This window comes from Homo sapiens, chromosome 14, assembly GCF_000001405.40.
Source record: "Homo sapiens chromosome 14, GRCh38.p14 Primary Assembly".
NCBI lineage: Eukaryota > Metazoa > Chordata > Mammalia > Primates > Hominidae > Homo > Homo sapiens.
In genome coordinates, this window is record NC_000014.9 from 67,882,400 (window position 1) to 67,908,332 (window position 25,933).

The window sequence follows — 25,933 nt, forward strand, 5'->3', positions numbered from 1 at the left end:
CAGTCCTAGGACCTTTTCTCTTCTATATCTGTACTCAATCCCTAATATCATCTGGTCTTATGATCTTTAAAATCTTTTATAGGCTGTAACTCCTATTGATATCTGAATTCTGAGCTTTCCCATGAACTTCAGATTCATATTCATTTGCGTAATGACATGGAACTTGGATAGGTTTACATACATGGATTTCCTGATATGTCCAAAACTGCATTTTTGTTTCCCCCATGAAGGAAATAAAACATGCAAATAACACCAATAACCAAAACCTTTATGTGAATCTTGTCTTTTCTGCTTCAATAAAGTTGTGATTCCATTCTTCTAGACACTCACCCAATTAGTCAAGAAATTCTTTCTTTTTTTTTTTGAGACGGAGCCTCACTCTGTTGCCTAGGCTGAGTGCAGTGGCGTGATCTTGGCTCACTGCAACCTCCATCTCCCAGATTCAAGCGATTCTCTTGCTTCAGCCTCCCGAGTAGCTGGGATTACAGGCGCCCGTCACCACACCTGGCTAATTTTTGTATTTTTAGTAGAGACGGGGTTTTGCCATGTTGGCCAGGCTGGTCTTGAACTCCTGACCTCAGGTGATCCGCCTGCCTTGGCCTCCCAGGGTGCTGGGATTGCAGGCGTGAGCCACCGTGCCCGGCCAAGAAATTCTTTCAGCTCCTCTTTTGAACTATATCTTGAGTCTAGTTACTTCTCATCACTTGACCTGTTACTTCCCTGGGTGAGGTCACTACCAGCTCTTAACTGGTCACTACCAGCTCTTATCTGTGCTAGCTGATCTCCTTGCTTTCATTCTTGCCCAAGCCTCTTCTCCATTGGGCAGTTAGAGCAGTCCTTTTAAAAAAAGAAGTCAGATCATGTTGTTCCTGCTTCTAGGCTTCCTATTTTGCTAAATAAAAGCTAAAAAAAAAAAATACCACTTTAGCAAAAAAAAAAAAAACAAAAACCACAGACCTAAAGGTCTTATGTGATCTTGGCCTTGGCTAGCTCTTTGTTTTCTTTTATTCTCCCTCTTACTCTCTGTGTTCCAGATACTTTAGTCTCTTTGTTGTTTCTCAGACACACCAGGCATCTTTCCACATGTAAGCTTTTGCACTTGTTATAATTCTCTATTCTTGTGTGCTGTTTCACTGGGTATCCACATGGTTCATTTTCTTATCTCTTTTAAGCTTTTGCTCAAATGTCACCTTATTAATAAGGCTTTGTCAGTTCACCTGACATAAAATATAAAATAGCGCTAGCCCCACCTGTCACATTCTATTCTCTCATCCTGCTTCATTTTCCTCTACAGCCTTATTACCTCATATATAATATATATTTATTTGTTTGTCTTCCTCAGTAGAATTTAAACCCTATGAGGTAAGGGCTTTTCTTTTTCTTTTGGTAGTGGTGGTTGTTCATTGCCATATTCTCAGCACCCAGAACAGTGCCTGGCATATAGTAGGTCCTCAATAAATATTTGTTGAATGAATGGATCTTAGTGCTCATTTTGAAAAGAATGCTTTTTATAAACAGATATCCACTAGATGGCATTATTTTCAAACTTTATGTAATTAATGTCTGGGAGCAAATGATAGGTTATTTTCTGTTTTTTGCCCTAAACAAAAAAGATCTTTGCAATGAAGATTGTCACAAGAAGTTACTAGGATGAATGTGAGGCATGTCGAATATTGCATTTATATTTGGTTTTTGATTTATATATTTTTAGATGTTTATTATAAAATAAAAAACATTTAGAGAAACAAAATTACAGCATATTGGTGTGTAAATGATCCATTTAATACAGTTATTTAGCATGGTAACTGTGAACAAAGGTTGTTCATGTCTATCCATTGACCACCATTCCTTTTGTGAGGCCTTCAGCAATGGCAAAGCAGCAGTAAGTTCCAGAGCCTTTCATTACTGAAGCCACTAGTGGAAATCCAGAAAATTGTCAGCTGTTCAGTTCTTGTTGCTAATGAGCTAGGTACTCTCAATCTGGTTCCTAATCAACTGGGCATTCAAATTTTGAAAAATTTCCATGTTTCTAGAAGATGTTGCCAGACCTATCCTGTTAAAAACTGGTAGGTTCTAAGTGCCAGAGATTTTTAGCTGACTTCTCTGACCAGCACTAAACTCAGCAAATAGTTTCCCTAATCAAAAATTTACACTTTTCCCCCAAACCCTCAGGATTTGGCTGCTCTGCCTGTGCCAATGCCATCTCATTTCTTGATTTCCTCCCTTACCTCATTTCCTTCTTCCATTTCAATCCCTGTGCCTCTCTTAAGCTCTTTTCCTGGATGGTTATTTGATCCATTTTATTCTCACTCTTCACACCTCTTTTGGTACTATTCCTTATTCATGAAGTATTTTTTCCTCTTCCTGTTCAACTTAGCTATGTATATTTTTCTTTTCAAATTGTTCAAAAATACACTTAAAAACAGTTGTTGAAGTTCTCTCTTCTCTTTTCCTGTTTTGGGCTTTTCTCTTTTATTTCTGATCATAGCAAATGTAAGGACTTGTTTTGGTTATGTTTTTAAAGTTCCCAGCTTCTTCTCAGAACTCTAACTATTTAGAAATGAAAACACTGTTCTTTTGTACTTTTGAGTCTCTAAATGGAAAACAAAATATAGGATGCTTTTTGAGTTTACAGCCTCTCCTCCCAGTTCCCCTGGGATGGCTAAGTACTAGGGCTGATAAAATGTCATTTCATTTAAAATGAAATGTGATGGTTAAACTCAAAACATTTAAAATGAAATGAGATGGTTAAACTCAAAGACTTATATTTTTAACATTTTTAACCATAAATATGAGAAATTTCTAGTAATGCTTTCCATATCTTATAATATGAATGATGGCATTTTAACTTGTCACTCTCTTGTGTTTGGCCTACTGCATGTATTAAACTGGCTTTGAGGCCAGAATTCAGTGTTTAGAAAATCATGTTTTGTTTACTAAGAAAGTATTGGAACATTAATTTATTTGGGCCATAATTTAAAGGAATTATTGCATAGCATTAATTTGCATGAATTGTTTCAATTGAGAAAGTGTATTTTTCTGGAATGAGACATGAAGACTTACTGATATCTATTATAATACAATATACCATATTTGTTCAAATATACTTATTTCATTCAAGAAAATGAAAGCATTCTTATTTAGTAAACATATCTTATAGCTGCTACTCTAAATATCACTTACAAAAAACATATTTAATCCCAGAAAGATAAATCTCAAGAGACATTGTTGTTTGCTCAAGATTAGATGAGATCCAACAGCCCTTGCTGGTTGCATGCTCTGACTGCTAACCTCTGTTAGTGCTTACAAAAGAGAGCTTAATTCTAAATCTGTATATTAAGCCATTTTGCTTATACCTGCTCTATTGATAAGGCTTAGGAGTTTCTCAAGTAAAATTAATTAGAGATTCAGCAATGTGGCTTTAAGTAGAATTGACTGTTTTCGTTTGTGCTATTTTTTTCACCCACAGACTGGTTGAAATAGCAGAATCCCGTTTTCCCAGATATTTTAACACTGAAGAAAAGTTACTTTTGACAAGTAGTAAAGTTCATCTTTATCGGGAACTCACCTGTGATGAAGTTCTACAAAGGTATGCTGCTTTAGATTTTGATTTTTTAGTAATGCGTTGAAGGTTTATGTTTTATCTTTTATGTTTCAGCTTCTAAGTGAAAAAAGTCTTTATAGGTTAGAATTATGTGGAGTAACTTTTTCAGTGTTCTTCTTTGTTATAGCCTTTTGGTTGAAGTCTTTCTTGAAAAACAAAAAAAATTAAATGAATAAAATGTTCTGTATTTAATTAATTAAGTGGTGTATTATTTATCTATTGTTTCATTAACAAATTGTCTCACAGTTTAGTAGCTTAAAACAGCAAATACATATTATTTCACATAGTTTCTGAGGGTTAAGTGTCTGGGAGTAGCTTAGCTGGGTGTTTCTGGCTCAATGTCGCTCAAGAGGTTATAGTCAAGCTGGTGGCCAGGGCTGCAGTTATCTTAAGGCTTGACTGGAGCTGGAGTACCTGCTTCCAAGCTCCCTAATATAGTTGTTGGAAGCCCTCTGTTTCTTGCTGGCAGTGGGCAAGAGACCTTTGTTCCTTACCGTCTGGGCCTCTCCATAAATCACAACATAGCAAGTTGCTTTCCTCAGAGTAAGTGACCTGAGAGACTGGGCAAGTGAAAGAGTACCCAAGATGGAAGCTGTAGTCTTTTATAACCCACACTCAGAAATAAGGTACCATGATCTTGTCATATGCTTGTGGTCATACAGATCAAGTCTGGCACACTGTGGGAGGGACCTATACAAGGATGCAAAATACCAAGAGGAGGGAGTAAGTGTGGGCCATTTTGCAGACTGGCTACCACAAGTAGTTTTACCCCAGAATTGGAGCGTTAACATTATCTTAGGAGAATCAAGGAATTCTGAAACTACACAGAAACAGTTTGCTCTGTTTCCAGAAAAGTATGATATGTCTACAAGTTAGGTTTACTGAATTCTTGCAAATCATTACTGTAACTTAGGAAAGAATAGTTTATTGTTTTTAAGTTGCTTAGCCTTTGCAATACCTTTATTTATTTATTTTATCTTAAATTTATTGACTATTTTATAAATTCTTCTTTTATAGGATTGAATCTTTGGAAGAAGAAATTATCTCAAAAGGAATTAAACTTGTGATTCTTGACTCTGTTGCTTCTGTGGTCAGAAAGGAGTTTGATGCACAACTTCAAGGCAATCTCAAAGAAAGAAACAAGTTCTTGGCAAGAGAGGCATCCTCCTTGAAGTATTTGGCTGAGGAGTTTTCAATCCCAGTAAGTTTTTCTTTTTTTCTCTTTTTTCTTTTCCTTTCTTTTGTTTCTTTTATATTACATTCACTGACTTATGGTATCAAATAATAAAATTAGAGGAAAATGTAAAACAGATGACTTTTTAAAGGTAGTACAGTCTAATTGCTATAGCAAACATCGCCATCATCTTAAATTAGCTCATCTGCTGAGATTATTTTATTATTTTAATAATTTGAGTCTGGAGTAGATTTAAACGATGTTTTTAAAAGTTCCTATAGTCCCTCCTTTTCTTCCTTCTCATTGTTTACTCTTTGTGTGTGCTTTGTATCACATTTCTCACACTGCAGTAAATATAAAGTAGTAAAACTTCATGAAATTGCCTAGATCTATTTCTATATAATTAAAAAAAATACTGCAGTTGTTGTTAGTTTTGTTTTAAGTATTTTAGGTTTAGATACTGTGTTATTGTGTTCAGCGCTGTTTTGTGTACAATAGGATTTGGTTTGCTTCAAATGGTCAGAGGTCAACCATTAAGAGATGTTGGAATGATAGTAATGAAAGTGTCAGTAAGAAAACCTTGAAAGATTATTTGTGGCATGGCTTTTTGTAGCGGGCATTGTGATCAGAAATCTGAAGATGACAGGCTATTACAAGGGCTTGTGATGTGTAACCTGCAAGACGTAAGTGTGTACTAAGTTACACTCCCATCTGCAGTGTGTCAGGGAGTTTTAGTCGTTGTTCCACAGCCTCATCAACATTCAGGCTTCTCAATTTTAGTCATGCTTCATCTCAAGAAAAGATAGTTCCTTAAACTGAGATAAAATTTGGTTATGATTTTATAATTTTTAGATTTGTTTTTGGAAAATTAAAATCTTGGATCTTTGCAACATAAAGAATATGTATAAATAATATAAACTATCACACAGCCTTTGAGGTTTATAAAACCAAGGAAGAAGTCAAGGGAGAAAATATGACATTCAAAAAGTTCTGCATACTTTAATGGCTTTTTAGTTTATATTTTGAATTAAAGTCAAGTGCTGTTAAGTTTGTCTTGGGTGATGTTCATCTTTTACATTTTATTGTAGTTGGTTAAAATGATAAATTCAAATTTATATTTTTCCTGATCAAGGAGAATAAGGGAACTTTGAAATACTGTATAAAGATACTTGATTGAATAGAAAGTTATGTATATAGTTGGCCCTCTGTATCTGTGGGTTCTGCATCCATGGATTCAACCAACTAAAGATAGGAGATATTTGAAAAAGCAATGGGTGTGGTAGTGTGCCCCTGCAGTCTCAGCTACTCAAGAGGCTGAGGTGGGAGGATCACTTAGGCGCAGGAGGTTGAGGTTGCATTGAGCCATGTTCATGTCACTGCACTTCAGCCTGGGAGACAGAGTGAGACCCTCTCTCTAAAAATATATATATATATTTGAAAGAAAAGAAAAGGATAGTTGTCTTTGTACTGAACATGTACAGACTTTTTTCTTGTCATGATTCCCTATAGTTAAGCAGAGATTTACATAGCATGTACATTGTATTGGGTATTATAAGTAATGTAAAGTTGATTTAAAGTATACCAGAGAATGTACATAGATTATGTGCAAACACTGCACCATTTTATATGAGGGACTTGAGCATCCGTGGATTATGGTATCTGCAGAGGAGTCCTGGAACCAATCCCCCATGGATACAGGGGGATGACTATATATTCTTATTTTATTATTAATTCATACTGTTGCTTGACTTAATTCCGTGCAAAATAAAATTCACTTTTTAAATGTTGTGTTTGTTTGCTTTTAAGTAGTAACTGTAGGCTAATGCTTTTCAGTTTTTCCTAAGGTGATTTATTTTCCCAAGTGAGAAAGGGGCACTGCTTTTCTTTGTTTTTAATAGAACCCTCTGAAAAAATAGGTACTGAATATCCCATTTCTATGCCTTTGGCTTTGTTTCTCTATTTAGAAATAAATGCAGATTATACTATGTACTTATATAACTGTGATATCTGTTTTTTGTGACAATTAAGATTGTAAGATTGGTTTTAAAAGGATTTTGAAAAATATTTCCTTTAGAAAATGTTGGAATTTTCCTAGCTAAATTGATACATTTAAATGGAAAATCTCTCACACAGGTCCGAGATTTAATTAAAAAAAAAAAAAGGAAATCATGAACTTTTACACATTTATACTGTACTTTGAACAGGCACCATAGTACTGTTCAAATTAATTATGTCAATTTAATATGTTATATATGATAATTTGCTAAATTAAATTATTGCTTGCTATATATATAAGCTTACCTCACAGATTGTCTTGAAATATGTATATAAATATAAATATATAAAAATAAAAAATATATATAATAAAAATATATAAATATATAAAATGTGATTATTCAGCTTTTCCCCCCCTTTCTCTATTTGAACTAGTACTAGAAAACCTCGTCTTTTGGGAAGGGTGACATCATTTGGCCCTTATGTGCGCATGAATGCATTTAAGTTTTAAGTATGCTGTTGCTTTTTTCTACGTTAGTCCCTGAGAATTAAAGAGGAATTAATCGATATCACTTGATTGAAAACAGATGTATTAATATCTTTCAGAAGTTTTCAATTATAAGATGGCTTTACTAATATTTTGAGGCTATCACTGAAATGAAAACATAAAATTAAAAAATTTTCACAGAGAATTTTATAGACCTTTGAGTATGTTCAGACTGCAGTTTTGAGAAACAGTTGTAGAAGTCTGGTAGAATCTTTTCTCCTGAAGTTTATGGAGGAGGTGTAAGTGATACTCTGCCATTGGGATGGAAGATGCGGAACCTTTGTCTTTTTAAAGTGTTCACACTAGTATTGAAAAAACAGTAGGCTCTGAAGCTGTTTAGAGATACTGGATAAAAGTAACCGAAAAAAATTTAAATACTGCTTTATAAAATAAATTGTGGTTATGGCTATTTATGTTGACTTTATCATTGACTTCTAATTACCACGTACAGAATAGTTATTATACGTATTGTAAATTATGTATCAGATTAAAATAATAGGATGTTTTTGCCAGAAAGGACCTTAAAGAAAATTTAGTTTGGCCCCTTCATTTTACAGATGACAATGAATCCGAAAAGTGACCTGATTTGCTCCAGGACACTCAACATAGGAAAGGACAAACAGTGGGTAGAATGAGAGATCTTTTAGCTGCCAGTTTGGGGATTTTTTTTTTTCCACAGCAGAATTTTCTTTTTTTCTGAGACATACAGAATTACGGTGGACTGTAAACTTCTTTTTATTTATTTATTATTATTATTATACTTTAAGTTTTAGGGTACATGTGCACAATGTGCAGGTTAGTTACATATGTATACATGTGCCATGCTGGTGCGCTGCACCCACTAACTCGTCATCTAGCATTAGGTATATCTCCCAGTGCTATCCCTCCCCCCTCCCCCCACCCCACAACAGTCCCCAGAGTGTAAACTTCTTAATGACAGGATTATATTTTCTGTTTCTCTGATTTCCAGGACCTAGCACTGTGGATAACTAATATTTAGGAGGTAACAGCTAATGAAAGTACAATTAAGGTTTATGAAAATAGTCTTACCATATGTATGTCATATTTACATTCATTGGAATATTTTTCTTTATCTTTTAAAACATAATTTGAATTTTTTTATGCTTGCTGCTGAAATTCTTATGTTTTTGTTTTTAAATTGACCTTTGTAGTATGCCATCTTAGTTGTATTCTTTTTATTTATTTTCCATTCCAGAGTTTTATAAGTTGTTGGAATAAAAGAAAATGAAAATGCATTGCTTAGATAACAGGACTTTCACCTTTTGAAAATTCTTTGGAAATGCTTTTTACTGGTATTTCCAAGGTCTACATTTTTACTTTTTCAGAGAATTCAACAAATCAATTTCAGTTGTTATATGAATAATATTGAACTTTTTTGTCTCCCCTTAATCTTCTTCTACTTCCTTCATTTCTTGATATTGTACAAATGTTTTCTGGTGTAAGGGGAGGAGTACCAGTTAACACTATTTACAAAAGAGGTTTATGGAGATAAATTTGGATATATTATTAAATATTCTAAGAGGGAAATGCCTTATTTTCATTGAAAGTTGTTGTTAAAATCCAAATTATTTTACTAAGATGTGCTTATAATCCGTTTTTCTGTGGCCATCTGTGTTCTTGATTACATGCCTTTTGAGAATATCCATTGCTCTAATTTATTGCTTATCAAGGTTTTTGGAATATTAGTGATTATTTTTATGTTTAAAGCTGCTTAGACAAATGAATCAAAATATGTGCATTTTAAATTTTGCTATTTTAAAGACAGTTTTAAATCATTAACAAATGGAAAGAATTTGTTCTGGTTTTAAAGTGGACATATAACAAGGTTAAATTTTTTATTATTATTTGAGACAAGCACAAATTTTTTTTTCCTCTTTTTAATGGTGAACTTCATGTGGGCCTGGATTTATTTATTTATTTATTTATTTTACACCATGAGCTGTTCCATTATGCCAAGTGGGTTTAATTTATGCAGGATTATACCTTGTCTTAGATACTAATAAATATTCAAAATAGAAAAATAAGAAACTAGGCCACTTCATTTAAAATAATTAAGGTTTTATTAATTATAAATTGGGAATATTGTGTTTATAACTGGTGAGATAAGAGGAAAAAGAATGTATGTACCCAAATTCGACATTTATTTTTATCTTAAACATAAATATTCAGAACTGTCACTTTTGTGAAAGCCTGATGAAGTCACTCTGATTGTAAAGTAGGAATCCTAGACCCTTGATGTAGACATAGATATGCCATTAAAACTGCAGTCCTGTTTTGCTGTGTGTAACATTGTTGTATCACTTTTCTAGAAATGTAATTTTTGGTTTACTCTTATTACTTTCATATTTTTACTGAAAACAAGCACCACAGGACTTCTGAGGTAAGAAAAGTCCTTTACAGGATTTTTCTTTTCCATAAATGCTTACTGTTGGCTCACTCACATTTGAAATCAGATTGTTCTTAAACCTATCCTATGTTCATTCAGGTCCCTGAAACTCACAGTCTAGACTAAACCTTTATCAGTTAGTGAAAATAATTCTAGAAAAAGTGTATCTTTCTTTTATGTAGCTCTTTATGACTTCTGAAACTTTGTTTTTATTGTTTCTAGCAAAAACCTAGAAACAACTTAAAAGTTAGTAAGTAGGTGATTGGCTAAATTAATGTTGACATATCCATACAATATTATATTGTGCCACTGTTACAATGAATGGTTTAGCCCAGAAATGGATTCATAGGTTATGCAGGCAAGGGTTAATTCAGCTAGCATGGGTTACTCATATCCAGCCATTCCCAAAAAAGGCCTCTTTTCAGGACTGCCCTTGCCTGGCTCCTGGGAGATGAGTGCTGGGCCCTGGGAATACTCTGCCTAGTAAGGGTGTTATATGCCTGAGGACTTGAGCCACAGGTACTGGTTTGATCAGATTGTTTATGCAAACAGTGTGATTTATGGTGAAGCCTATTTTTCTCTGGGGATCTGGGGACTACAATCTAAATAGCTGAGGTCATCTGCATGCAGGCATTGCATGCCTAGTGACTGACCCTCAATAGAAATGCTGGACATTAAGGCTTGAGTGAACTTTCCTGGTTGACATTACTTTGCATGTGTTGTCACACATTGTTGCTAGGACAATTAAGCACATGCATGCGACTCCACTGGGAGAGGACACCTGGAATCTTGCACCTGGTTTCTCCTGGACTTTGCTTATGCTCCTTTTCTGTTTGCTCATTTTGATCTGTATCCTTTTTCTGTAATAAGCCATAACTGTGAATATAACAGCTTTTGAGTCCTGTGAGTCCTTCTAGTAAATCATTGAGCCAGAAGGTAATCATGGGGAACCTTGACATGCAGGGGTGCTAATAGATATGTACAAGAGTATCTATGGCAGCTTAATTTGTAATTGCTCAAAACTGGCAAGATGTATTGTAGTTAATAGTATTGGCATCAGTCTTAATACATTGGCTTTGATAATTATGGTTTGTAAGATGGTGATATTAGGAGAAGCTGGGTGAAGGGCATTTGGGAACTCTACCCTTTCTGCAACTTTTTGGTAAATCTAAAATTGTTTCAAAATAAAAAGTTAAAAAAAGAAAAGGAGGTCAGGTGTGCTGGATCACACCTGAAATCCCAGCATTTGGGAAGCTAAGGCAGGAGGATCACTTGGCCAGGAGCTAGAGACCAGACTGTGCAACATAGCAAGACCTCATCTTCTCACACACACAGACACAGACACACACACACACACACACACACACACACACACACACACACAAAAAAAAACAATTAGCTGGGTGTGGTGCTACACACCTGTAGTCACAGCTACTTGGGAGGCTGGGGCGGGAGGATGGCTTGAACCCAGGAGTTCAAGGCTGCAATGAGCTATGAACATGCCACTGCATTCCAGCCTGGGCGACAGAGCAAGACCCTGTCTCAAAATAAATAAATAAATAGAAATAAATAAATAAATGAAAAGGAGAGTAGGGCGGGTTTTATGAGTAGAAGTTGGCTCTGGGTAGTCATAAAGAAATGGCACTGGCTGTATTTGGAGAAGGGGACTTGATTTTGATGCACTGGTTCTCTTCTATTTAGTCATCTGGTCCCATACATATTATCTAATACCTCTTCAATTTAAACCCTGCTCTTCATCTTTCAGCACATCCTCTTGGCTCCGCTTTCGAAATACATTCAGTATCTGATTACTTTCTACCACCTTCATTGCCATCATCTTGGTTCCTGGAGGCTAAAAGTACTGGCTTTGGAGTTAGACGTTGGTTTGAATCTTAGCTCCACTATTTGCTAATTTTATGACCTTGAATAAGTATTTATCCCAGCTCTAACCTTTCGTTTCCATGTTTGAAAAATGAGGATAACAATATCTGACTCATAGGGCTGTGAGTATTAAATGAGATAATGTCTGTAATGTTCTTCACAATGTTTGGCATATTCAGTAAAAAGTAGCCTTTAATTATTAATTTTACTAGTTACCTCGTTCCAGATGCCTGGTGTATTTTATCTCTTTCCTCCTAAAATATTTTTTAACAAGGCTGCAAGTGCCTCAGAAGGAAGAATCATGTCTTATTCACTATTGTATCCCCCTCTGTCTGTCTTACTGGTGGATGCTGTTACTGCCTGAACCCTCCTTTATCTGGTTAACTTACACTTATTTTTTGGATCTCAGACTCTTTTTGTCTTTCCTTTTCGATTCCACCTACAGCACTTGTGTCCAAAACTCCATGCTAGGAACAATGGGATAATAAAGATGAATAAAACATAGTATTTGCCCTTAAGGCTTCTACAAATAAGGTAATTGTAGAGGCAAATCGCTCTCTGTGATATAATGGAGAATAAAATAAGTATCTTGTCTACTGTTCCTTTCCTGTTTCTTAAAATATGTAAGTAGCTTGTAAGTAACTTCTCTGTCTGTCCTTTGTTTGGGACTATAGATTACACAGAGGGAATTAAAGGGAGGTAGTAGAGACCTTCATAGTCTCTCGGGTAAACCCTTTATCATGTCTAGCTTTGGTCCTTAAATGTCCCATTCTTTTTTTCTTTTTATTTTTTGAGACAAGGTCTCTCTCTTTCCCAGGCAGGAGTGCAATGGCGTGGTCATAGCTTACTGCAGCTATGCCGAGTTCTAGTGATCCTCCTGCCTCAACCTCCCAAATATCTGGGACTAGAGGCATGTACCACCATGCCTAGCTAATTTTTTTGATTTTTAGTAGAGACAGGTCTTGCTATGTTGCCCAGGCTGGTCTTGAACTCCTGGGCTGAAGCAGTCTGCCCACTGTGGCCTCCTAAAGTTCTAGGATTATAGGCATGAGCCACTGTGCCTGGCCAGGGTTCCATTCTTATTTAGAAAGTCAGTGCTCTTTTGGAGACTGATAGGTAGTGGTTAAATTCATAAAGCACATGCATAATTCTAAAGTTGTATGCTAAGAAAACATTGGAAATGAAGGCCAGTTGTAGCTCTTAGTCTTTAGCGTTACTTTACGTATGTTACACAGTACCTTGATTTGTTGTAGAATTTTCTAACTGAAGATCTTAAGGTTGTAGCTGAGTGGCAATCTTGTTTTCCAGTGAGTACAGGGATGCAGAGAATGAGGTGATTTATGTAAGATTGCTTAAGGAGTCATTTGGATAATTGAATAATATCACTTGCCGCTTCCATCCTGGGTTGTTATTGTAGTATCTTAATGGGTCTGCTTCTCTCTTTTCTGTATCGGTAATAGTACATATGGGTACATACCATTGCTACATCATTTTCCCAAAGTGTATTTCTGATCACATCCCTCCTATGCTCAGAAGCATTGTATGGTACCATGATGCTTATAGAATTAAGCCACTAGACTATAAGCAGTATGGGGGCAGAGAAACTATTTGTTTTGTCCACAGTTGTATCCTTTGAAGCTAGGACAATGTATGGCACATAATATATGCTCTAATTAATATTTATTGAATGATTAAGTCTTAGTTTAGGATATGATATAATATTTAAAGTTCTCTTCCTTCTGGCTCCAACCTACTCCTCCCATGTTGTCATTTCTCTTCTGTGCAGGCTGCTGGTATACTACCCCGAGACCTCTCTATGGCTTTTTAGCTGTGGATGTCCTCTTCTTTCATCTCTTCCTTTCTAAATTTTTTTCTTTCCTATCTGAGCTCTCAAGTTCTGTCTCTCCTCTGAGATTTTTGTATCACTGTTTTAGCCCCAGTTAATTCTACCTTCTTTTGTAGTACACATGGTCTTAACTTCTAATTGGAACTTTAATTATGTATTTGCCTTGCAGTGTCACTTAAATATTTGCATGTATATATCTGAGCTCCTCAGTTATATTATAAAGCCCCCTGAAAACAGAATTATGTTCTTATGCATCCTCCATAGCTGCCTATATTGAATAGTGTCATATATTGAGTAGGTGTCCAATATATATTTGTAGAATGATGTATCACACTTTTTCTAGTTAGGCAATTTTTGAAATGCATGTCTAATTAGATGCCTACTTCAATTCTTACACTACTTAAAGGGAAAACATTCTAACATTCATTCTAAAAATTGAAAAGATACTGGGAAACTAAAACTTAAGTGTCTCCCCTGCACCCCTTTAAAACTGAATGTAGAAGATTTGTTGATAATTTGACAGCTCTGTACCTTTAATTTAGTATGATGCATGAACTTCTGTGAGACATCAACCAAGATTTTATACGAAGAGCTGTGATCATCAAGGTGGGAATTTAACATCAGTGCTCTGTACACATAGTATTACTGTAATGCCTTCTTTAGAAGTTTAACAACGTCAGGTGATATTCTATGTTATGATTTTTAACTTATCAAAGGAAAGCATTGTAGAGAAATTAGATCATCTCTTGAATAGAATCTGATAACTGCTCACTGTTTAATTAAATTCAAATAAACAGTTTGAAATAGAATATTGGCTGTATGAGAGTTTGGTCAAAGGATATTTTCTTGAGTTTTTCAAAGACAAAATTTGTTTTTTTGGTTGATATTTTTACATATCCTTTGCGTTTCTTGAATGTAGTTCACTTAGTTAATACAGTACAGTTAATACAGTTACCTTCCAAGTAAAGCTGGAGGGAAAATACTTTCTGATAAGAAAATATATTTCAAATAATAAAACAGTATGATACTAGCATAAAACAGATATATAGACCAATGGAACAGAATAGAGAGCCCAGAAATAAACCTGCGCATGTGTGGTCAATTGATCTTTGACACAGGTATCAAGAATACACAAGGGGGAAAGGACAGCCTCTTCAATAAACGGTGTCAGGAAAACTCGATATTCACATGCACAAGAATGAGATTGGGCCCTTATTTTATACCATACACAAAAAATAAATTCAAATGGACTAAAGACTTAAACATAAGACCTAAAAACTAAAAACTCTTAGAAGAGAACATAGAGGAAAAGCTTTGTGACAGCAGCCTTGGCAATGATTTATTGGATATGACAACAAATGCACAGGTAACAAAAGCAAAAATAGACAAATGGAACTATGCCAAACTTAAAAGCTTCTGCATAGCAAAGGAAATAAGAAAAGGAACAAACAACTCACGAAATAGGAGAAAATATTTGGAAACCACAAATCTGATGATAAAGGGTTAATATCCAAAATATATAAATAACTCCAAAACTCAATAGTAAAACAAGAACAAGCAAGCAAACAAGAGACAATACAATTAAAAAATGGGCAAAAGAACTGAATAGAAATTTCTCAAAAGAAGACATACATATGGTTCACAGGTATAAGATTCACAAAGTTACTAATCATAAGGGAAATGGAAATCAAAACCACAATAAGATAACACTCACATCGCTTAATACGGTTATTATTTAAAAACCCACAAAAGATAGTAGGAGTGGGCAGGATGTGAAGAAAAGAGAACCCTTGTTCACTTTTTTTTTTTTTTTGAGATGGAGTTTCGCTCTTGCTACCCAGTCTGGAGTGCAATGGCGCCATCTCAGCTCACTGCAACCTCTGCCTCCTGGGTTCAAGTGATTTTCCTGTCTCAGTCTCCCAAGTACCTGGGATTACAGGCATGTGCCACCACGCCCAGCTAATTTTTTTGTATTTTTAGTAGAGATGAGGTTTCACCATGTTGGTCAGGCTGATCTCGAACTCCTGACCTCAGGTGATCCATCCACCTCAGCCTCCCAAAGTGCTGGGATTATAGGCATGAGCCACCATGCCTGGTCCCTTGTTCACTTTTGGTGGGAATGTAAATTGGTGTAGCTACCTGCTATGGAAAACAGTTTGGAGGTTTCTCAAAACATTAAAGATAGGACTACCATATGATCCAGCAGTCTTATTTCTGGCCATATATCCAAAGGAATTAAAATCAGGATCTCAAGTAAATATCTGAATTCCTATGTTCATTGTAGGATTATTCCCAATAGCTAAGTCATGGAAGCAATCTAAATGTCCATCCATGGATGAATGGAAAAAGAAAATGTCATATACACACACAATGATATATTATTTAGCCTTAAATAAAAAAGAAGGAAATACTACTATCTGTGACAACATGGATGAACCTGGAAGACATTACGCTAAATGAGATAAGCCAGACAGAGAAGAACAAAGAATACATGATCCCACTTTTACTAGTATATGGAATCTAAAATAGTCAAACTCATAGAGCAAAGAGTAGAATGGTGATTGCCAGGGGCTGAGAGGAGGAGGAAACAGGGAGGTATTGGTGAAAGGGTAAAAGTTTTAGTTACACAAGATGATAAGTCCTGGAGACACAGTGCCTATAGTGAACAGTAATGTATACTTAAGCATTTGTTGAAAGGTAGATCTTACATTGTGTTCTTATCCCATACACTGTATAAATAAAGAGCACAGGTGGAAACTTTTAGAAGTAATGGATGTGTTTATGGCATTGACCGTAGTGATGGTTTCACAGTGTACATTCTCCAAGTTGTATGCATTAAACATACACAGTTTTGTATATGTCAAACAAATAAAAAGCCAGAAAACAACTTTAATTTTCCTAGTTAGAATGTTTTCCCTTTATTGAATATAAGAATTCAAGAGGCACTTAATTAACTTTGTAAGATTAAAAATATTTCCCAAACATTTAAGAATCTATGTAAAACATAACAGCTGTGGTTTAAAGGTTTTATTATCTTCCAATACAAGTAACAAAATGTAAATTAGAGGATATTAAAAATTATGTATTTTTCACTTGAACATTGTTTCCTACCCCTTTTTTGACTTCTGTTTATCTTTGATATTGAAAGATAAATATTCTTGTTGATTTTACATCTCTATTAATTTAGATTCTTTTTTTTCTTTTTTTGAGTCAGAGTTTTGCTCTGTTGCCCAGGCTGGAGTGCAGTGGCATGATCTTGGCTCACTGCAACCTCCGCCTCCCGGGCTCATGCTATTCTCCTGCCTCAGCCTCCCGAGTAGCTGGGACTATAGGCACCCGCCACCACGCCCGGCTAATTTTTTTTTTTTTATATTTTTAGTAGAGACGGGGTTTCACCATGTTAGCCAGGATGGTCTTGATCTCCTGACCTCGTGATCTGCCCACCTTGGCCTCCCAAAGTGCTGGGATTACAGGTGTGAGCCACCACACCCGGCCTAGATTATTTTAATGTTGACTCAGTTTCTGCTGGGAAATATCTTCTTAAAAGTGAAACATTTGCATTAGATTATAGCTTTTTTAACCTTAAGGCTATTTTGATGGTTATAGGAGAGAAAAGTATGTATGGCTAGACAGAGAGCAATAGTTCTTTTTGTATTACCATTAATGGTTTGAACCTAAGCTCCTTTTAAAATTAAATTTTGATTATAAACATTTGGGCTTTGAAGTCCCTTTTAAGATCAGGGTCCTTATTTATTGTCTCAGAGTTTGTGTTAATTGTTTTACTGGAAAAAATAAGTAGTCATTGACATTGAAAAAATTTCTACAGGTTTGAAATGCTGTTAAGAAGAAATAGCTACATCTTATTGATAACTACTTTTTTTGTTTCGGGTTCTGTAGTGAGTACATTTTAAACATTTTCCATTTCATATTCTAAATAAGTTTGTGAGGTAGGTTATACTATTCCCTTTTTATAGTTGAAGAAATTGAGGCTTATAGAGGTTAAATAACTTTACCAGAGTCACTTGGCTAGTAAGTGGAAGGGCTTGAGTTTGAATCCAGATATGTGTGATTACAATGCATGTGTTCTTATTCATAATGGAACACTGCCTCCTAATGCAGTAGTCAAAATTATTCTATTCCCTTGCTGCTTATCATACTAAAAACTTTTCAATACTTATTGTTTCCTCTAAGCCTTTTTCAATGGAAAGTCTCTAATTTTGCTTTATGCTTTGATTGCTGCTTGTAAGTGTAACCACAGTGTTGCTTCTGTATTAGTGTTATCAGTATTTAAAGTAAGAGAAATATTTGATTATTTGCAGCTTTGATTGCTTTTTCACAAACATGCAAATCACACATGTAATGTTAAGAGTATAATTAATGCCTTTTATGTGCCAGTGAATATACTGAAGACTTGTAGGTTTTCTGAACAATATTCTCAGAATTGGCAAACTTGTAGCTTAAGTCTTGTAATAAGGATGCTGTCTTAGGAAAATAATTTCAAAATACTTGCACTTTAGACCTCTCTTGGGGAACACATGAAGTAAGGCTGCTTCCTAAGATTCTGCTTTGAGGTTTTATGAAGACACAATACATGCTGTTACTGGACAGAAGACATTTTAGTTTCATGACATTGCCAAATGTATCTCGTAAAATTCACTGTTCATGAATTTAATTAAAAGTTCTTAGGAGCTTAAAACTTAAAGTAGGTATTTTAGACTCATGACTCAAAGGATCTTCTTTCAGTTTGTGTGTGTGTGTGTGTGTGTGTGTGTCATACACACACACACACACACATAAATATATATATTTGAAGGAGTTACAGTTCTAAACTAAACTGGAATAAAGTAATGCCCATAGTTATTAAGTACTAAAGTACAGTATTTTAAAGAAATGTTGAAATTGTTATAATATGAAGTTTCTTAGTGCCCCTAGCTTACAGCCACTAAAGTTAGTTTTATATCTGATACCATATTGTAATGAATTTACTTTTTTGTTCTGTATGATCTTTAGCTTAGTTTACTGGGTTGCCCAATAACATGGGATTGACCTGCCTGCTAACCTTGTGTTGGAGTCTGCTTAGTCCCTAGTTCAGCTAGGTCCAAGTTTTTGTCTCATGACCAAGAAGAATAAGGCTTGCAGCCACTGGAGAGTAAATAGAGTAGAATTTATTAAGCGAAAGGAAAGCTCTTAGCAAAGAGAGGGGACCTGAAAGCAGGTTGCCAGAAATAGGACTGAGTTCTGGGTCTTTTATGTGGCAAGAGCAAGGAAGCCTTCTGTGGGTTCTGCCCAAAATGGGAGGGCTAAAGTTCCCTCCTAAGGATGTTGCATCTGTGCATGCCTGGGGTTGACTCCATCTTAGTTATTACCCGTGAGTGCCTAAGCGAAAGCCACAGGGGTACTAAAACCACAATGCGAATGTCATGTTAATGGCATTATAATGAGTTGGGCCAAGTTAAGGACATTTAGGTTGACTTATTGCGCCTGTGCCTAAGTTGGGATGGTCCCTTCTGAGCAACATCCTGGCATGAGGGTAAGTTCTTAATCATATTTCTTCTCATTAGCTACAGGGACAGTGCAGGTGCAGTCCTGTGGGTATTTTTCCACTCCGAAGACCCTCCCTCTCTATCTGCCTAAACTGCCTCCTCTGTCACTTGGAAATGGCAGTTTACTGTTGAACAATAGACCTCTCCTTATGCTTTTCTCTTCCAGTCTTTGGGAATCACACTCTGAAGATTAAACATTTCACTGAGACAGCATGACGCAGTAGAAGGTACCCAGAATCACAATACAGTTCACAGTAACAAAGATATGGAATCAACCAAAGTGGATGATTGGATGAGGAAAGTGTAGTATATATACACAATGGAATACTATTCAGCCATAAAAAGAATGAAATAATGTCTTTTGCAGCAACATGGATCAAACTGGAGGCCATTATCTTATGTGAAATAAGCTAGACACAAAAAGACAAATACCACATATAAGTGGGAGTGAAATAATGTGTACCCATGGATGTAGAGTGTGGAATGATAGACAGTGGAGACTGGGAAGGGTGGGAGGGGGTTGGATGATGAGAAATTACTTAATTGGTACAATGTATGTTATTCCAGTGATGGATACCTGGAAAGTCCTGACTTCATCACTATGCAATATATCCATGTAACAAAATTACACTGTATCCCATACATTTATATAAATGAAATGAAAAATGAAAGAAAATAGGAGTTTAAGTACCATATGTGTTACAACTAGCTGTGCAATCCTGGACGAGTCAGTTCTCATTTCTGAGCCTCAGTATCCCTATCTGTAGAAAGTGGCTAAAAGTTGCTACCTCATAAGGCTTAATATTATTACTAATAATATTAATAGATGAATAGTAATATATTTCCGATTACTAAACTTTATAGAGGTTTTTATAATTTATAAGCACTTTCATATATAATAATTTTATAGGGATGTATATTTATCTATATTTCTGAAAGGACTTTGTAAATTCTGAAGCACTACGTAACTTGTTAGTTGATAGTTCCATAACCAGCTAAATCTGATTTAGTGACTGTTTTTATCCTTAGTTATTTGAACAATGAATCAGAATTTTCTAAGCTCAGATAATGCACTTAACTCAATTTGTTCAGCTAAAATAAAAGTTTTGGAATGTTTTTTAACTAGTGTTAAGATTTGTTTTAAAATTAGATTGTAACGACATCTGGCTTTTATATTATTATTTAAAGATGTAGAAATGGTGATGTAGTAAAAATCATGAGTGGTTAGTAGTTGGGGGCTAGTGTCATTTTTAGGAGTTGCAGTGATGAACTCTATCCACTAAATTTAGTGATGGATCAGTGTAGTTCTTTTAAAATAAATATTTAGTACTTTATGTTTACAGAGGACCCTGCAATTATTAGTTAGCTTATACCAATATTTATTGCTATATAAAGGGCTGGGCAAGTGCCTATAATGGCCACCTTTGGAGAGGATTTACAGGCACCTTTGAGAAAACTTCTTTTTTTTTTGAAGATGGAGTCTTGCTCTGTCACCCAGGCTGGAGTGCAGTGGTGTGATCTCGGCTCACTGTGACCTCCACCTCCTGGATTCAGGCAATTCTCTTGCCTAAGCCTCCTGAGTAGCTGGGATTACAGGCTCCCACCACCATGCCCTTTTTAACAGCTAATTTTTGTATTTTTAGGAGAGATAGGGTTTCACCATGTTGACCAGGCTGGTTTTAAACTCCTGACCTCAAATGATCTGCCCACCTCTGCCTCCCAAAGTGCTGGGATTACAGGCGTGAGCCACCGCGCCTGGCCTGAGAAAACTTCTAACTCTGAGTTTAGTTGGTTTGTCTGTATACTGTCAGGAATCTGCAAAGCTTATTTGATCGTTTATTTGTACCAGCATTTTCCCTGAGAAGTTATTCTGAAAAATACTCTCTCTCAAAATGATAAAAACCTTTTCTGTGCATTTGTTTCAGAATCTTACCGCTTCTAGGACCTAGAACTTCTTTCTGAAGTGTAACCTAAATATTTGCCTTAAGAAGTTAAATAACTAATATTTTTAGTGTAACCACCATTTAAGGCATTTAAAAAAAATGAAATAGTCTGCTTTCAAGACTCTTGTTTCTATTATGGATATAAAACATATTTTTAAAAAGATCAACATTATAAGGTAGTAGATAGTAAGTATTAATTAGGTGTTTGTGGCAGATACTGTTAGTTGCCTACCCAAAACTTATTTCCATTTTCACCTTGTTAATAGAACCCTAATCGTGTTTTGGTAGCTGTGTGCCCAGCCTCAGTTCATGACAGTCATGTTTTCTGATTTCCCAACTTCTTCTACAACTGAGGATAGCCATGTGATCGAGTTCTGGACAGTGTTACCTGTTTAGCTCTCCATTTTTTTTCTTTCCAACTTTTATTTAAGGTTCAGGGGGTACATGTGCAGGTTTGTTATGTGGGTAAATTGCATGTTGTGGGGGTTTGGTGTTCAGATTATTTCATTACCCAGGTAATAAGCATAGTACCCAGTAGGTAGTTTTTCAGTGCATACCCTCCTCCCACCAGCCACCCTCAAGTAGGCCCCCGTATCTATGGTTTCCTTCTTTGTATTCATGAGGACTCAGTGTTGAGCTTCTACTTACAAGTGAGGACATGCAGTATTTGGTTTTCTGTTCCTGCATTAATTAGCCTAGGATAATGGCCTCCAGCTCCATCCATGTTGCTGCAAAGGACATGATTTATTCTTTTTTAATGGCTGCATAGTATTTCATGGTATATATGTACCACATTTTCTTTATCTCGTTCACCGTTAGTGGGCATTTAGGTTGATTCCATGTCTTTGCTATTGTGAATAGTGCTGTGATGGACATATGTGTGCTTGTGTCTTTATGGTAGAATCCTTATATTCCTTTGGTTATATACCTAGTAGTAGGATTGCTAGGTTGAACGATAGTTCTAAGTTCTTCGAAAGATTGCCAAACTACTTTCCACAATGGCTAAACTTATTAACATTCCTACCAACAGTGTATAAGCATTCCCTTTTCTCTGCAACCTTGCTAGCATCTATTATTTTTTGAGTTTTTAATAATAGCTATTCTGACTGGTGTGAGATGGTATCTCATTTTGATTTTAGTATACATTTCTCTAATGATTAGGAATGTTGACTTTTTTTTTTTTTTTTTTTGAGATGGAGTCTTGCTCTGTTGCCAGGCTGGTGTGCAGAGGTGCGATCTCGGCTCACTGCAATCTCTGCCTCCCAGGTTCAAGTGATTCTCCTGCCTCAGGCTCCCACGTAGCTGCTAAGCATGCCACCACACCCAGCTAATTTTTGTATTTTTTTCATATGCCTTTTGATTGTGTGTTTGTCTTCTTTTGAGAAATGTCTGTTTATGTCCTTTGCCCATTTTTAATGGATCTGTTTGTTTTTACTTGTTAATTTCCTCAAATTCTCTATAGATTCTGGATATTAGATCTCTGTTAAGATACATAGTTTGCAAATATTTTCTCCCTTTAGGTTATCTGTTTATTCTGTTTATAGTTTCTTTTGTTGTAACAGATCTCTTTCATTTAACTAGATCCTATTTGTCAGTTTTTTTTTTTTTCAATTGCTTTTGGAGCCTTTGTCATGAAATCTTTGCCATCACCTATGTCCAGAATAGTGTTTCCTAGGTTTTCTTCTATGGTTTTTGTAGTTTTAAGTTTTATATTTAAGTCTTTAGGCCATCTTGAGTTGGTTTCTGTATATGGTAAAAGGAAGGAATCTAATTTCAGTCTTCTGCATATGGCTAGCCAGTTATCCCAGCACCATTTATTTAATAGAGAATTCAGTAAATGCTGCTGGGATTACTTGTTTTCATAAACTTTATCAAAGATCAGATGGTTGTAGGTATGTGGCTTTATTTCTGGGTTTTCTAACCTGTTCTGTTGTTCTGTGTGTCTGCTTTGGACCAGTACCATGCTGTTTTGGTTACTGTAGTCTTGTAATATACTTTGAAGTTGGGTAGTGTGATGCTTCTGGCTGTGTTATAATATTTTTGCTTAGGATTGCTTTGGCTTTTCAGGTTCTATATGAATTTTAGAATAGGTTTTTTTCCAATTCTGTGAAAAATGTTGGTAGTTTGATAGAAATAGCATTGAATCTGTAAATTGCTTTGGGCAGTATAGCCATTTTAACAATATTGATTCTTTCAATCCATGAGCATGGAATGTTTTTCCATTTGTTTGTGTCATCTCTGACTTCTTTCAGCAGTGTTTTGTAATTCTTGTTGTAGAGATTTTTCACCTCCCTGGTTAGCTGTGTTCCTAGGTACTTTTTTTGTGTGTGTGGCTATTGTGAATAGGATTGCATTATTGATTTGACTCTCAGCTTGGCTGTTGTTGGTGTATAGAAATGCTACTGATTTTTGTACATTGATTTTGTTTTCTGAAACTTTGCTCAAGTCATTTATCAGATCTAGGAACATTTGGGCAGAGATTATAAGGCTTTCTAGGTATAAAATCATATCACCTGCAAAGAGAGATTTCCTCTCTTCCTGTCTGGATGCCGTTTATTTCTTTATCTTGTCTAATTGCTCTGGCTAGAACTTCCAGTATAGGAGTGGTAAGTGTGGGCATCCTTGCCTTGTTCCAGGTCTCAAGGGGAATGCTTCAAGCTTTTGATTATTTGGTAGGATATTAGCTGTGGGTTTGTCATAGATGAGTCTTCTTATTCTGCGGTATGTTTCTTCAGTACCTAGTTTATTGAGGGTTTTTAGCACAAAAGGATGTTGAATTTTATTGAAAGCCTTTTCTGTGTCTGTTGAGTTGATCATGTGGTTTTTGTTTTTAGTTTTGTTTATGTGATGAACCACGTTTATTGATTTGCATGTTGAGCCAACCTTGCATCTCAGGAATAAAGCCTGGTTGATTAGGTAGATGAGCTTTTTGATTTGCTGCTGGATTTGGTTTGCTTGTATTTTGTTGAGGATTTTTGCATCTATGTTTATCAGGGATATTGGCCTGAAGCTTTCTTTTTTCATTGTGTCTCTGCCAAGTATTGGTATCAGCATGATCCTGGCCTCATACAGTGAGTTAGGAGGGAGTCCTTCCTTCTGGATTTTTGGGAATAGTTTCAGTAGGATTGGTATCAGCTTATTTTTTTACATCAGGTGGGCTTTGGATTTGAATCAATCTGGTCCAGGGTTTTTTCTGGCTGGTAGGCTTTTTATTACTGATTCAATTTCACAATTTGTTAGTTGTCTGTTTAGGGTTTCAATTTCTTCCTGGTTCAATCTTGGGTTGTTTTATATTTTCAGGAAATTATCCATTTCTTCTAGGTTTTTTAGTTTGTGCACATAGTGATATTTGTAATAATCTCTGAGGGTTTTGTGTATTTCTGTGGGGTTGCTGGTAATGTCCCCTTTGTGTGTTGTGATTGTGTTTATTTGAATATTCTCTCTTCTTTCCCTTCCTTCCTTCCTTCTTTCTTTCTTTTTTTCTTTTTTGACGAAATTTCAGTCTTGTTGCCCAGGCTGGAGTGCAATGGCACCATCTCAGCTCACCACAACCTCTGCCTCCTGGGTTCAAGCGATTCTCCTGCCTCAGCCTCCTGAGTAGCTGGGATTACAGGCATGTGCTACCATACCCGGCTAATTTTGTATTTTTAGTAAAGACAGGGTTTCTCCATGTTGGTCAGGCTGGTCTTGAAGTCCCGACCTGAGGTGATCTGCCCATCTTGGCCTCCCAAAGTTCTGGGATTACAGGTGTGAGCCACTGTGCCTGGCCCTGGATCTTCTCTCTTTTACTTATTAGTCTACCTAGTGGTCTATCAATCTTATTCATTTTTTTCAAAGGGCCAGCTTTTGGTTTTGTTGATCTTTTGTATGGTTTTTCGTGACTCAATTTCATTCAATTCAGCTCTGATTTCAGTTATTTCTTGTCTTCTGCTAGCTTCGGAGTTGGTATGCTCTTGTTTTTTTGGTTTCTCTAGGTGTGATGTTAGGTTGTTAATTTGAGATTTTTCTATGCTTTAGTTCTCTACTGCTGCTTAATATTTTGTTATAAAATATAGTACCTTAAAACAACAATTATAATTTATTATATCTCATGGTTTGTGTGGGTGAGTAATTCAGATAAGGACTTGTTTCTGCTCCATGATGTCTGAGGCCTCAGCTAGAAGACTCAAAGACTGAGGCTGGAGTCATATGAAAGCTTGTTCATGCCATTTTTTAGTTAATGCTTGTACCTGCTGGGGGTCCAGCTGGAACATTCACATGTGGTTTTAATATTATCACTGGGTTTTTTTATGACCCTGCCTCCGGAGTTATTTAGCATCACTTCTGCTGTACTCTATTAGACAAGACTGTTAAAAATCTCCTCCTAGACTTACAGGGAGAGAATATGTCCCCTTCTGTCAGTTGGAGGAGCATGTATCATGTTGTAGAAAGAAAGTATTAAACAGAATAAATATATTGAGGTGGTCATCTTTAGAAAATACAGCTTACTACAGCATTTAAGGGAAGGTTTATTGTTGGGGGGCTGTGGCGCTGTTGGGCAGTGATGTTTTAGGCATGATCCTTTGTTGCTTATTCCTTCTTCATGCCTCAAAGGAGCAGCAACCATCTTGTGCCCATAAGGTGATAAATCAACCGCTAAGGATTTTGACATCATTGGAAGTCAGTCCTGGATGATCCATTTCCAGGCTTCTTTTTTTCCTGTGTGGAAAAAAATACCTATTTGTTTAAATTACTATATTAAGGATTTTGTTTTTTAAAACCAATCATAATCCCCAAATGTCATGGTTGTCAACTTTGAGGATACATAGGAATCACCTGTGGGGCTTGTTAAGATACAGATTGCTTGGCCCCATGTTAGAGTTTCTGATTCACTAGGTCTGGCATAGGCTCAAGAAGCTGGATTTGTAACAGGCTCTCTGGTGTTGTCAATGCTGTGGTCTTGGGACTGAGGTATGGGCTTTGAGACTTCAGAGAAGAGTGGGTGGCTAGGGCT

At 36.0% G+C, this 25,933-nt stretch overlaps 1 protein-coding gene across 12 annotated transcripts in view; it reads left to right on the forward strand.

Moving 5' to 3' along the window:
- Positions 1-25,933, forward strand: part of RAD51B (RAD51 paralog B) — an 863,318-nt gene that overhangs the window by 62,621 nt on the left and 774,764 nt on the right. For all 12 annotated transcript variants that reach the window (NM_001321818.2, NM_001321809.2, NM_001321821.2 and 9 more), the window contains 2 exons: positions 3,470-3,589; positions 4,622-4,805. In NM_001321818.2, coding sequence (NP_001308747.1) covers positions 3,470-3,589; positions 4,622-4,805 — 304 coding nt within the window. The remainder of the gene's footprint in view (positions 1-3,469; positions 3,590-4,621; positions 4,806-25,933) is intronic.